Genomic DNA, 13,725 nt, shown 5'->3' with positions numbered 1-13,725 from the left:
GCTATACACACACTTCTCATTTCATCCCACAGAATATTAAGAAGATGTGGACTCAAGGGTTGACATATCATAAAACTAATAATCTTTACTTCAAGGACATTTGTAAGCTAAAACTGGCATTTCTGAAATGTGAGTACATAGCAGTGAAGAATGAAATGACTAGTAGCACAGTTTACTCTGTGCTAAGAACCAGCAGTTTTACCCTTTCTTTCATACCATCATTGCAAATGTCAACACAGTGTAAAGGGCAAATAATGCCTTTGTATTCTTAGGAAAGAGTTTTGATCTTTCAGACCTTCTGAAAGAGTCTCTAGGACACCCTAGAGTCTATGAACCACACTTTGAGAACCCCTGAACCACATTGTATTAATAATGATAGTATGAATATAATTGCTACCATTTATGTGCTTGAGTCAGACATCCCTGTAATTTCTTTTTTTCTTATTATTATACTTTAAGTTCTAGGGTACATGTGCACAATGTGCAGGTTTGTTACATATGTATACATGTGCCATGTTGGTGTGCTGCATCCATTAACTCGTCATTTACACTAGGTATATCTCCTAATGCTATCCCTCCCCTCTCCCCCCACCCCACGACAGGCCCCGGTGTGCGATGTTCCCCTTTCTGTGTCCAAGTGTTCTCACTGTTCAATTCCTACTTATGAGTGAGAACATGTGGTGTTTGGTTTTTTGTCCTTGCGATAGTTTGCTCAGAATGATGGTTTCCAACTTCATCCATGTCCCTACAAAGGACATGAACTCATCCTTCTTTTATGGCTGCATAGTATTCCATGGTATATATGTGCCACATTTTCTTAATCCAGTTTATCATTGATGGACATTTGGGTTGGTTCCAAGTGTTTGCTATTGTGAATAGTGCCGCAGTAAACATACGTGTGCATGTGTCTTTACAGCAGCATGATTTATAATCCTTTGCATCCCTGTAATTTCTTAAGCTGTACTACTTCTCATTTCTTATTAATCAGTTTGTTTGACAAATATTACTTGTGTGTTGGGTACTCAGTGAACCCAGGAAATGGTTGCTGCCCATAAAGATCAAAGGAGGTGTTAGAGAAGACAAAAATGTAAAGCAGACATCAGAAATGTGATCAGTCTGAAAATTTGAAGGTGCTATGGAGTAGCTTAAACTAAAAAACTTTCAAACAAAATAGATATGATAAAAAACCATTTCCATTTTAGACTTAGTGAGTTTGAGGTTTAAAGGAGCGACGCGGTGCATGAACTTTCAGCAAGAAGAAAGCAATGCTTATAACAAGAAGTGAGAAATTAAATGAGGCACAGTATAGTTTAAGAAATAGATTGAAGTTTTTATTCTTAGCTATTTTGAGTAATTAAATGGAAATTTGATTGAGAAAAATTATAAAGTAGGGTTTCTTAGCCCCAGGAACTGAGAACAGAAAATAAAGGTGTATGGTTAAGTGGGGGAACTGAAGATTTCCCTTTCAATAACAGAATTTGAGTGTTTTATTAGTTTTAAATGGGTTCATAATTGTATTAAGTGCTACAGCAAAAAACAGCTAACAAACTGGTCAAAAGTGAGTGAGAAAACTAATGTATGTAAAACACTGTGGCTTCTTTGCTTACAAGGAGCATCATTCATTTTCTTATTTGACAAATAGTAGGTTGGTGCAAAAGTAACTGTGGTTTTTGCCATAAAAGGAATGGCCGAGGCCAGGCACCGTGGCTCACACCTGTAATCCCAGCACTTTGGGAGGCCAAGGTGGACAGATCACTTGAGGTCAGGAGTTTGAGATCAGCCTGGCCAACACGGTGAAACCCCATCTCTACTAAAAATACAAAAATTAGCTGGGTGTGGTTGTGGGCGCCTGTAGTCCCAGCTACTCAGGAGGCTGAGGCAGGAGAATTGCTTAAACCCAGGAGGCAGAGGTTGGAGTGAGCCAAGATTGTACCACTGCACTCCAGCCTGGTGACAGAGCAAGTCTCCATCTCAAAACAAAACAAAACAAAACAAAACAAAACAAAAACGACCAAAATTTTAAGAATCTGAAAAATTTCGAGTGGCATGGAGTAGCTTAAACTAGAAATTTTTTGATGAGATGGATGTGATGAAGTAATCAGAAAGGAACTATCTCAACTAGGAGAAGTGCAAGGTGCTTTTCTAGGAACTTCAGTGAATACAAAAATGAGTCAGACAAATTCTGCCTTCATGGGACTTACAATCTTGCAGAAGAGTGGAGACGTGTATGCTGGAGGGCAGTGGACATTTGTTGCTTTATTTTGGCTTCCCAGTAACTTAATTATTTTGTAAATGTAGAGACTCTCCCATTGTATGGGTCTTTGGGAGAGGCAGAGTCTTGCCATCTACTATGAAAGTCAAGGAGTCAGATATTCCGTGTCCTTGAACCCTACCATTTTGACTGTGGGCACTTAACTTAGGATTAGCAAATGTATGTACCCACCCTGGACTTCAAATCTTAAGCAAGTGGTGAAAGATGAAGGACAGGAAGAAGAGATCGTATTGGCTCCTAGACCTAGCAGCAGCAGTGGGATATGGTAACAATAAGGGTGGTGGCATCCTTGCCAGATGCTTCTGTCTGGCCTACAGATAACCCCACCTGCTTTTCAGCCATCCATTTTGTGAGTCTCCACCACATTAATTCAATAAATCATTTTTGCTCTTCTTTTCTTCAAAATTATCGGAGTTGACTACTATTGTTTGCAACCAACAACCTTGACTAATACAGACACATGAAATTTGTCTCTGTGAGAAAACCTCATAGAGGGCAAGTGTTTGAGCTGTATGTTGAAGAATACTGCAAATACTGGCAATATGGTACAAGAGCATTCCAAGATAAGAGAATTGCCTGAGAAAAGGCATTGAGGTGGGAAATTTATTCATTCATCCATTCATTATTTTATTTTGTATTTATTGATTTTCCACTCTAGATAAAGTACTGTTCTAGATACTGTGGATACAGTGATGGACAAGATGCAGTAGTAGTTGAAGTATGGGGCAGAGAGAGATGGGGTAAGTAGAAAGGGTTAAAATTACAATAATATTACAGAAATGAAGTTGGCAAGGCTTTGTAACTGATTGGATGTGGGCAGTGAGGATGGTTGGGGAGTTTTGCACCCAACTGAACAGGATGGTATTGTTGTCATTAACACAAGGAGATCAGAGGAATAAAGTTGGGCAGGGAGGGTGATCATTTCCATTGTAGACTTAGTGAGCTTGTGATTTAAAGGGGCACTGTGGTACAGAAATCTAGCAGGCAGTCAGAAATTAGCGACTGAACTTTGGGAAAAAGAATAGAGATTTTGAAGTCATGTTCACAGAGGCAAGAGATTGTGAAGCAGTGGGGAGGATGGTCTTGGTGGGGGGATATGTGTGTGTCTCTGTGTGTGTGTGGATGTAATGTAGACTGACAAAACAAGGGGCTTCAGCACTGGCCTTTGGAGAACATCTGAATTTAGGAGTCCAGAGAGATCCAAATATGTATATGAAGAAATATAATACAACATGCAGAAAGGAAGGCACCTTAAGAGAAGTACAGATGGTCCTATAGGACTTCATAAGAGAGATTTCTTCCAGCTGAGGAGTTCAGGAAAGGCTTCACTAAGGATATGACATTTAAACTGGGTCAAATTTTATTCATGCATGTGCAAACTTTTTATTTCTATTTCTTCGTGAACTTTCATCACTGCTACATTTATTATAGGTCTGAACAGTGTGATCTCACTGTTGGAGTGAAGGAGGGTCAACTGAGGATTCTTTGGCAGGTGAAACACTCCATAGGTTATGAAAAATAATTCTTCCAGTTATCTCTTTTATGTGACTGGAACTTGTCTATAGTAAAAGTAATTTGTTTCTTGTGGCTTTGTTTCAGAATTTTTTTTAGATATTTTATGTAAAAAAATAAATCTTCTACTTGTAAAGTATTCCTTTCATTTAAATTGTATTATTTTTTGTTTGCCTTATGGTTTATCTGTTCCCTTGTGTGTACTACAGTTTTACTTGTGGAGAGGCTTGTAGTCTGTGTGGTTTATCATAATTGCCAGCAGATACATTGCAATTATTTTATTTTGTCTGCTGGGGTTGGATAGATTGCTTTAATCAAGGAAACAGACACCAAGAGTTGAGTTTCAAGACATATTGTTGCCAACAAAGTGTATAGGCATGATTGGTAACATTCATGTCCCTTACAATAGGCTCAATCTGAATTAAAGAATCCACGTATAGAAAGTGTCAAGGAAAATAATAAGTGAACAAACTTCGACTTGGTGAATGACTCCTTTTTTCTTGGTCAACTCAAAATATTTGAAATAAAAAGAGAAAGTAAGTGTCAGAATATCTGAAAAGTTTTTTCAAGGCTTTCTGGAAAAACAGTAGAGGGAAAAAGTATGATAGGAACTGTGATGAGATGTATCACAGGCTCTGGCACCTGTAGCAAAGGAAAATCATGGTCATGCTGTGAGAATGCGAGCACTGGGAGACTGGAGGGGCTGTGCCTTCCAAGCCAGTGTGGTGACCTGCCTCCGCGGGGGTCTCATTCCAGAGCTCAGATAAGAGTGGTGGGCCAAAGAAGTGAACTCTCAAAGAACATATTTGGCCCTTCCTTTCTACATCTCCTGGGGTGGGCCAGGGGAATGGTCTGTGGTAAAATATTCCTAACATAAAATTTACCATTTCAGTCCTTTAGAAGTGTTCAATTCAATGGCATTAAGTACAATCACAGTGTTGTACAACCTTCACCACTATTTCCAGCACTTTTTCATCACTCCACATGGAAACTTTATACCCATTAAACACTAACTCTTATTTGTCTCTTTCTCTAACCTCTAGTAACTCTGTTCTACTTTCTGTTTCTAAGAGTTTGACTTGGGCCCAAGTTGATCCTCCCACCTCCTCCCCCGGAGTAGCTGGGTCCACCAGGCGTGCCACCACAACCAGCTGATTTCTGTACTTTTCATAAAGATGAGGTTTCACCATGTTGCCTAAAACTCCTGGGCTCAAGCAATCCACTGGCCTTGGCCTCGGCCTCTTAAAGTGCTGGTGATTACAGGTGTGAGCCACTGCGCCCAGCCCAATGCCATCTTCTTAAAGCAGGCTTCCCTGACCTCTGTATCCCACTTTCTAATACACTTCCCTGTTTTATTTTTCTTCATGGCACCTAACACTAGCTTGTTATGTCATATTATGTCATGTCATGCACAGTCATGTGCCGCATAACCACGTTCCAGCCAGCAATGAACCACATACACCATAGTGGTCCCATAAGATTTAATGGACCTGAAAAATTTCTGTCTCCTAGTGATGTTGTAGCCGTCTGAACGTCATAGTGCAACACATTACTCATGTGTTTACGATGACGCCAGTGTAAACAAACCTACTGTGCTGCCAGTCGTATTAAAGTACACCACACACAATTATGTACAGTTCATATTTTATATTTACATAAATGACTATGTTACTGCTCTATGTATTTGCTATACTCTACTTTTCACCATTATTTTAGAGTATATTTCTTGTACTTATTAAAAAAAAAGTCAACTGTGAAACAGCCTCAGGCCAGTCCTTTGAGAGGTAAGGAGGTATTCCAGAAGAAGGCATTTTTATCTTAGATGATAATAGCTCCATGAGTATTATTGCCCCTGAAGACCTTCCAGTGGGACAAGATGTGGAGGTGGAAGACAGTGATGTTGATAATCCCAACCCTGGGTAGGCCTAGGCTAATGTGTGTGTTAGTGTCTTAGATTTTAACAAAAAACTATAAAAAGTTAAAAATATACATATGTTTTAATAGGAAAAAGCTTTGTAGAATAAATATAAAGGAAGAATATTTTTGTATAGTTACATAATGTGTGTTTTAAGCTGATAGTTATTATGAAAGAGTCAAAACATTTTTAAAACTTTATGTCTATAAAGCAAAAGAGTTACAGTAAGCTAAGTTTAATTTATTATTGAAGAAATAATTTTTTAAATAAATTGAGTGTAGCCTATGTGTACAGTATTTATAAAGTCTACAGTAGTGTACAGTAATATTCTAGGCCTTCACATTCACTTACCACTCACTCACTGACTCACCCAGAGCAACTTCCAGTTCTGCAGGCTCTATTCGTGATGTGTCCTATACAGGAGCATCATTTTAAAAATCTTTAATGCAATATTTTTACTTTACCTTTTTTATGTTTAGATATATTTAGATACATAAATACCATTGTGTTACAATTGCCGACAGTATTCAGTATAATATGCTTTACAGGTTTGGAGCCTAGCTGCAATGGGCTATCCCATGTAGCCTAGGCATGTGGTAGGCTATACTTTCTAGGTTAGTTATACTAACCTATGACAGTCGCACAATGACAAAATCATCTAAGGACACTTCTGAGAATGTATTCCTGTCATTAAGCAATGCATGACTGTATTTATTTGTTTATTTCCACTCTCCTCCATTAAAATTTTAACATCATTAAGGCAGGGGCCAGTCTTTATCTCATCTCTAGTGCCTACCAGATAGTAGTCATTCAATAAATATTTGGTGAATAAACAAATGAATGAAAAATTGATTTGAAATTTAAAAAAATCAAAGACTTTTCAAAAATTTTGATTAAAACCCTGTGTATTAATTTCCTAGGGCTTCTGCAACAAAGTACCACAAAGTGGTTGGTTTAAAACAAGAGAAATTTATGATCTCACAGTTATAGAGGTCAGAAGTCCAAAATCAAGGTGTCAACAGGGTTGATTCTTGCCAGCACCTCTGAGGGAGAATCTGTTTCATGCCTCTCTCCTTGCTTCTGGTGATGGCAGACAATACTTGCCATCCTTGACTCATAGATGCATCAATCCAGCCTCTGGTGTCATCTTCACGTGGTATTCTCCCTGTGTCTATGCCTTCACATTGCTGTCTTCTCATGAGGACATCTGTCATAATGTGTTAGGGGATTATGCTGTCTTCACATCATTGTCTTTTTTTTTTTGGAGATGGGATTTTGCTCTTATTGCCCAGGCTGGAGTGCAATGGCACGATCTTGGCTCACCGCAACCTCCGCCTTGCAGGTTCAAGTGATTCTCCCGCCTCAGCCTCCCGAGTAGCTGAGATTGCAGGCATGCACCACCACGTCCAGCTAATTTTGTATTTTTAGTAGAGATGGGGTTTCTCCATGTTGGTCAGGCTGGTCTCGAACTCCTGACCTCAAGTGATCTGCCTGCCCAGGCCTCCCAAAGTGCTGGGATGACAGGCATGAGCCACCACCCCCGGCCATCATTGTCTTCTTATAAGGACATCTTCATAGTGCATCCTAATCCTGTGATCTTATCTTAATTTAACTCATTACATCTGCAATGACCCTTTTTCCAAATAAGTTCACATTCTGAGGAACTGGAGGTTAGGATCTCAACATATATATTTTTTGGCAGGGTGGTGGGGCAACCATAATTCAACCCATTGATGCAAGACAGGTGAGCCTCAAAATTGGGACTTAGCCTAGGAGGGTTCTTGGCTTCACCCAGGAAAGAATACAAGGGTAAGCCAGTGGTGTTAAACAGCAACTTTTAGTGAAGTGGCAGTGTACAGAAGCAGAGGTACTGCTCTTTGCAGAGCAGGGCCACCCTGTAGGCAGTGTACTCAGAGAAGCAGCTCAAGGGCAGTTGTGCAGTCATATTTATACCCACTTTTAATTATATGCAAATTAAGGGGTGTGCTTTGTAGAAATTTCTAGGAAAAGAATGATAACTTACAGGTCATCAGGTCATTGCCATGGAAAGGGGCAGTAACTTCTGAGCATTGGCATGGCAATGGTAAACTAACATGGCACACTGGTGGGCATGTCTCATGGAATGCAGCTTCACCCCAGCCCTATTTTAGCTAGTCTTCAATTAGGTCCCATGTCCGAGCCCCACCTCCAGAGTTTAGTCCTGCCTCCTACCTCATCATTAAAACACACTATAACCAATTGGCTTCAAAGATCTTAAATATTTCGTTATTTAAACTACTTTTTTTTTTTTTTTTTTTAGATGGAGTCTTGCTCTTATTGCCCAGGCTGGAGTTCAGTGGCACGATCTTGGCTTACTGCAACCTCCACCTCCTGGGTTCAGGCAGTTCTCCTGCCTCAGCCTCCCTAGTAGCTGGGACTACAGGTGTGTGCCACTATGCCCAGCTAATTTTTTTTTTTTTTTAAGTTGAGAGGGGGTTTCACCATGTTGGCCATGCTGGTCTCGATCTCCTGACCTCATGATCCACCCACCTTGGCCTCCCAAAGTGCTGGGATTACAGGCATGAGCCACTGCACCTGGCCCTATTTAAACTACTTTTAAGCAGATATTTAGACAGAGGGGGCACTGGAATTAAGAGTGTAGAAAATGTAAATAATACAGGTGCTTTCTTTAAATCTGTCACTATTTTATATAAAAATTATAATTAAGTTCAGAGATATTTGTTAGTGCAAAAATTGTTTAGTAATTGATTTTTAGCTTCACTATAAAAGATTTTTCTGTTTTGAGTAAGATTTATTCTGTTCAATATTTTATGTTGTTATTGTATGGGGTGTGAGGTAAAAGGCCCTTTGTTCTTTACATTCTTCTTCAGAGATAGCAGGGAAACTGAGGGATGTTTTTAAAAACAGAAAGTCAACTTCAGACAGGCGTTCACTTCAATATTTATAACTAGCAACTAAAATTTGTGATTCCATATTGCTAGTCCTCCCACATCCCTTAATTAAACAGATGGATTTTCTACTGTGCCTTAAAAAAAACTAAATTGATTAGTTGTTGTTGTTATTGTGTTGTTTAACCTCAAGTGTAGAAATGAATTTAGAAGAATTGACTCTTTGTGAAACATCTCCTGCTCCAATTCAGATACACAGAATTAACATGATTATATTAGTGTCCTAAGGCTGCTATAACAAATGACCATCAACTGGGTAAATTACAACAACAGAAATGTATTCTCCCACAGTTCTGGAGGTCAGAAGTTTAAAATGGAGGTGTTGGCAGGGCCAGGCTCCCTCTGAATGCTCTAGAAGAGAATCTGATCATGCCTCTTTCCTAGCTTCTGGTGGTTACTGGCAGTCCTTGGTGTTCCATGGCTTGTATACTTACCACTTGAGTCTCCATCTCTGTTTTCACATGGCTTTCTTCCCTGCATGTATGAGTGCCTCCAAATCTCCCTCCTTTTATAAGGGCACCATCATTGGATATAGGGTCCTCCCTTATCCTGCATGACCCTATCTTAACATGGTTGCATCTACAAAGACCCTATTTCCAAATAAGGTGACACATACCAGGAGTTAGGACTTCTTCATGTCTTTTGCAGGACACAACTCAACATAATATGATTATTTTTGTTTTTTGAATGAAAAGCATAATGCATGTACATAGCTTTTAGAGTTCAACGTTGATGATGTCATAATAAACCTAGCAGCATCCTGTCCCATCCCTATGCATTATCAATTTTTGCTCTGCTATGGCAAGAATATATACTGCTTTTAGTTGTTTCTTACAAGGATTTAGTTTCATATTATTAAATCACATGTCAGCCGGGCACGGTGGCTCACACCTGTAATCCTGGCGCTTTGGGAGGCTGAGGTGGGCGGATTACCTGAGGTCAGGAGTTCAAGATCAGCCTGGCCAACATGGTGAAACCCTGTCTCTACTAAAAATACAAAACATTAGCAGGGCATGGTGGCGGGCGCCTGTAGCCCCAGCTACTTGGGAGGCTGAGGCAGGAGAATTGCTTGAACCCAGGAGGTGGAGGTTGCGGTGAGCTGAGACCATGCTGTTGCACTCCAGCCCGGGCAACAAGAGCAAAACTCCATCTCAAAAAAAAAAAAAAAAAAAAAAAATATATATATATATATATATATATCTCACATCTCTATTTTTTATGTTATCTATTAATATTCTACTGTGTAAGATGAAAATTTGGCTCTCTAATATCGCCCAAGGAGACACACACCTTTCATCCCCTTACACCTCTCAATATATTTAGCTGTAACACCATATTTTTGCTAAATCAATATTCAGCGATTATATTGTTGTGAATATGTAATGAATAGCTTATTTATAAACTAGCCATATAATGTATGATGATTAAATTTCTTTTACAGCTTGTTTTTCTCAGTGTTATTAATTGAAGTTTATAGGCTTAATTTTCTATGTCTTCATAATAAATGTATTCCCAAACTCTCTGCCAGAGCTTCTCTCACTGGGTTTAGCTACTACAGGTCACTTATTAGTTCCATTTTCTTCCCAGAGCTTCCACCCGCCTGCTCACATGTGGCCTTGTTGCTGTCTCGGTCTTCTCTGGTGCTGTGACTCAAGGACTATCACTTAGGACTTCCTTCCCCTCTCCCCTCTGTTGACGCCCCTGTTTGCTTGATTGTTGTATTTCCCTTTCGTGGTATCCTTCCTCCTCTTTCTAGAGTACATTACCTAATAGCTTCCTGAGAAAAGGTGCAGTGGGAGCTACATACTGGAGTTCTTCAGTGTCTGAAAATTATCTTTATTCTGCTTTCACACTAAATTGATAGTATGGCCAGGTATACAGATTCCTAGATGGAAAACCATGTTTCTTCAGAATTTCGAAGGCTTTCATTACCTTTTAGCTCCAAATTTGCTGTTTAGATGGTCTTTGCTATGCTGATTCATGGTCCTTTGTATGTGGCCTGTTTTTACGTATATTCCCTGGAAGATGTTTAAGTTCTTAATTTTGTCCCCATTATTCTAAAATTTCACAACGCTATCCCTTGGTGTCTATCTTTTCTCTGTCCATTATTCTAAGCACAGACTTGGCAATCTCCATCTGGAAATGTGCCTTCCAGTTCTGCTAAATGTTCTTAAATTATTTCCTCCCTATGATTTTCTCAATTCTCTCTTTCTGAAATCATTATCATTTGGACATTTAGCCCCCTGGACTGGGACTTTAATTTTAATGTCTTTTCTCACATTATCTGTATCTTTAATTTTTTGTTTTACTTTTGGGAAGATATATTTAGCTTTATCATCTAACCCATTCATTAAATATTTAGTTTTTTGCTATTATAGTTTTATTTTAAAAGAACTATTTTGTTTCATATCATTCTGCCCTTATACCTTATAATTTCTTATCTCTCTAAGAATATTATTGGTTTTTTGAAGGGATTTTTCTGTATTGTTTCTGTTTCCCCTTGTTTCTTTTTTCTGTTCATTTCTATCATCTCTCATGCTACAGGATTTTTCAAAATTCTGATAATGCTTGATTGTTCTTTCATGTTTAAGAATGAGATGCTGTTTACAAGCTCCCTGTGCATGGGTGGGGTTTACTTTAGAATTATGTGTGGACCCATTTATTTGGTCGGAGGACTCCCAACTGACAGCACCAGCAAAACTTCCATTTTTTTGAAAGAGGAATCTTCCAGGCTCTTGCCTGGAGGATATAAACTTGGCTGTCACCAAGTATGCAGACTCTCACTTATGCCACCTCTTTGCATATGGTACTCTCACCTCACCCTCAGCTCTGCCTGGTGAATCCAAGTCCAGAGCCTGTTTGGGTCAGTCCATCCAATCTTCTGCTGAGGTGAAGAAGAGCAAGTTGCCTGTCTGCACAGCCTTGGAGAGGAGATCTGAGGTTCTGACCACTTGTTATAAAGAACTTCAATGATCTTTCCTTTTTCAGCCCGCGTGGATCCTTGCCTTGCAAGATGGGTGGGGTCTCTAATTTCTGATACTTTCCTGTGTCTCCACAGCAGATATCAGCTGGATGTAGCCCTCTCCACTTGTGAGCTTGGGGTTTAGCTTTCTGTTTTGCTAAGACATGTATAACTTACTCATCACCTTCAGTTTCCAAAACATGAACTTCTTATCAGTTTTCATTTCTCCTTCTTTTCTCTTTGTCCTGAACTAATGCTTTATTTTCTTCTTTCAGTGTCATTTAGGAGAGTTTGAGGAGGCAACAGACAAATACCTGTATACAATCTGCTGTGTTTAGCTAGAAATCTTCTGACTGGTTATTCATTAGTGTACTACTATAGAAGTGCTTGTTGATTAGTGTTGGACTACTAAATAGTCTAGGGAACTAACCCTCAAGTGAAATTTTTTCTTTAATTACTCTTTTATTGTATTGTGTGTTTATCATCACATTATAGACATTTTATTTTTACTCACAGTTTATATATTTAATAAATAACTGGGTTTTTTTTTTTGAGACAGGGGCTTGCTCTGTTGCCCAAGCTGGAGTGCAGTGGCACAATCACAGCTCACTGCAACCTCGACTTTCGGGACTCAAGTTATGCTCCCACCTCAGCCTCCCAAGTAGCTGGAACTCCAGGCACATGCCACCACACCTGGCTAATCTTTGTATTTTCTTTGTAGAGACAGGGTTTCACCATGTTGCCTAGGCTATGAATAAGTTTTGTTATAAAATAATATAGGTTTATCTTAGAAAATTTGGCAAACATAATTGATTAGGATAACATTTTAAAAGAAAAGGAAAAACTGCAATCCCACCACTTCTGACATTTTGGCCTATAACCTTGGAGACCACTTTTGGGGTTATATAGAGCTTAGTTTATAAGATTCATCAGGTAAATAAATTGAATTAGTCATTTAAAATCTTCCTACAATAAAAAGTGCAGGTCGCAGATAGTTTTACTAGTGAACCCTATCAGATATCTGTGGAAGAAGTAATCCCACTTTTGTACACCAACACTTTCAGAAAAATAGAACTGTAATGAAACCTTTCCAGCTCATTTTATGAGGCAAATATTGACCTGACACCAAAGCCAGATGAAAACAGTACCAAACAAAACTATAAATCAGTAGGAGCAGAGCAGACTTTTATTTGTAATGCTCTAACCTACTAGGGAATGCCTGAAGGACTGGTCTCCGCTTTGCCTAACTCAGATCTCAAGCAGGGAGAAGCAGTGGCTGCTGCTTGGGAAAGTTGCAGGGAGACTGGCCCGTAGACACCTGGGGTAAGACATTATGGGTAGAGATATATAATAGACCACCAAAGGCCTCAAGGAGAAACTCATTTGGAAAATAAGACATTAAAAAGCAGCTGTGTATACAGAGAAATTTAAAAAGCCACACAATGGCCCGAGCAAGATGCATGCTCATACAAGAACTTGTAAGGTCTTAAGCTTTCTCCTTAAGCTGAAGCTGATCCTAAGGCTTAGAACCATGGGCCACCTAATTAGTGAAAAACTTCGCTGGCACAGGGCCAGTGTGCAAAGACTGGGGGAGGTATCTGTTTTCTCAACTGCCCAATTTTCAGCAATAACAACAAAACTCCCACAAGACATATTTCAAAAACCCAGAAAAACATGTCCCTCTCAAAAAGAAAATAAAGTAGCAGTTACCTTCCCTGAAAAAACACAGACATTAGACGTACTAGACAAATACTTTAAAATAGCTGTCCTTAATATGCTGAAAGAGCTAAGGGAAAATATGGACAGAGAACTAAGTGGAATCAGGAAAACAATATGTAAACAAAATTAATCATTGGCAAAGAGATAGAAATTATAAACTGGAACCAAATTCTGAAGCTGAAAAATACAATAACCAAGTTGAAAAATCTATTAGAGGGGTTCTCCAGCAGACTTGAATAGGCAGAAGAAAGAATAAGTGAACTTGACTATAGGACATGTGAAATTACAAATTCTGAGAAACAGAAATAAAAAGGAGTAAAGAAAAGTGAACAGAGTTTAAGGAACATATGTGACACCATCAAGCAGACTAATGCATGCATTATGGTATTTACAGAAA

General features: G+C 39.0%; 1 annotated feature.

Moving 5' to 3' along the window:
- Positions 1,152–1,352: a silencer, noted in NCBI's record as "peak7056 fragment used in MPRA reporter construct". NCBI's record gives its function as "represses an SCP1 promoter by STARR-seq MPRAs in K562 erythroleukemia cells {active_cell/tissue: K562}" and the evidence as "EXISTENCE:reporter gene assay evidence [ECO:0000049][PMID:32103011]".

Source organism: Homo sapiens, chromosome 8 (assembly GCF_000001405.40).
Source record: "Homo sapiens chromosome 8, GRCh38.p14 Primary Assembly".
Classification (NCBI taxonomy): Eukaryota; Metazoa; Chordata; class Mammalia; order Primates; family Hominidae; genus Homo; species Homo sapiens.
The sequence above is the reverse complement of the archived record's forward strand: the minus strand, read 5'-3'. Positions and strand labels throughout refer to the sequence as shown.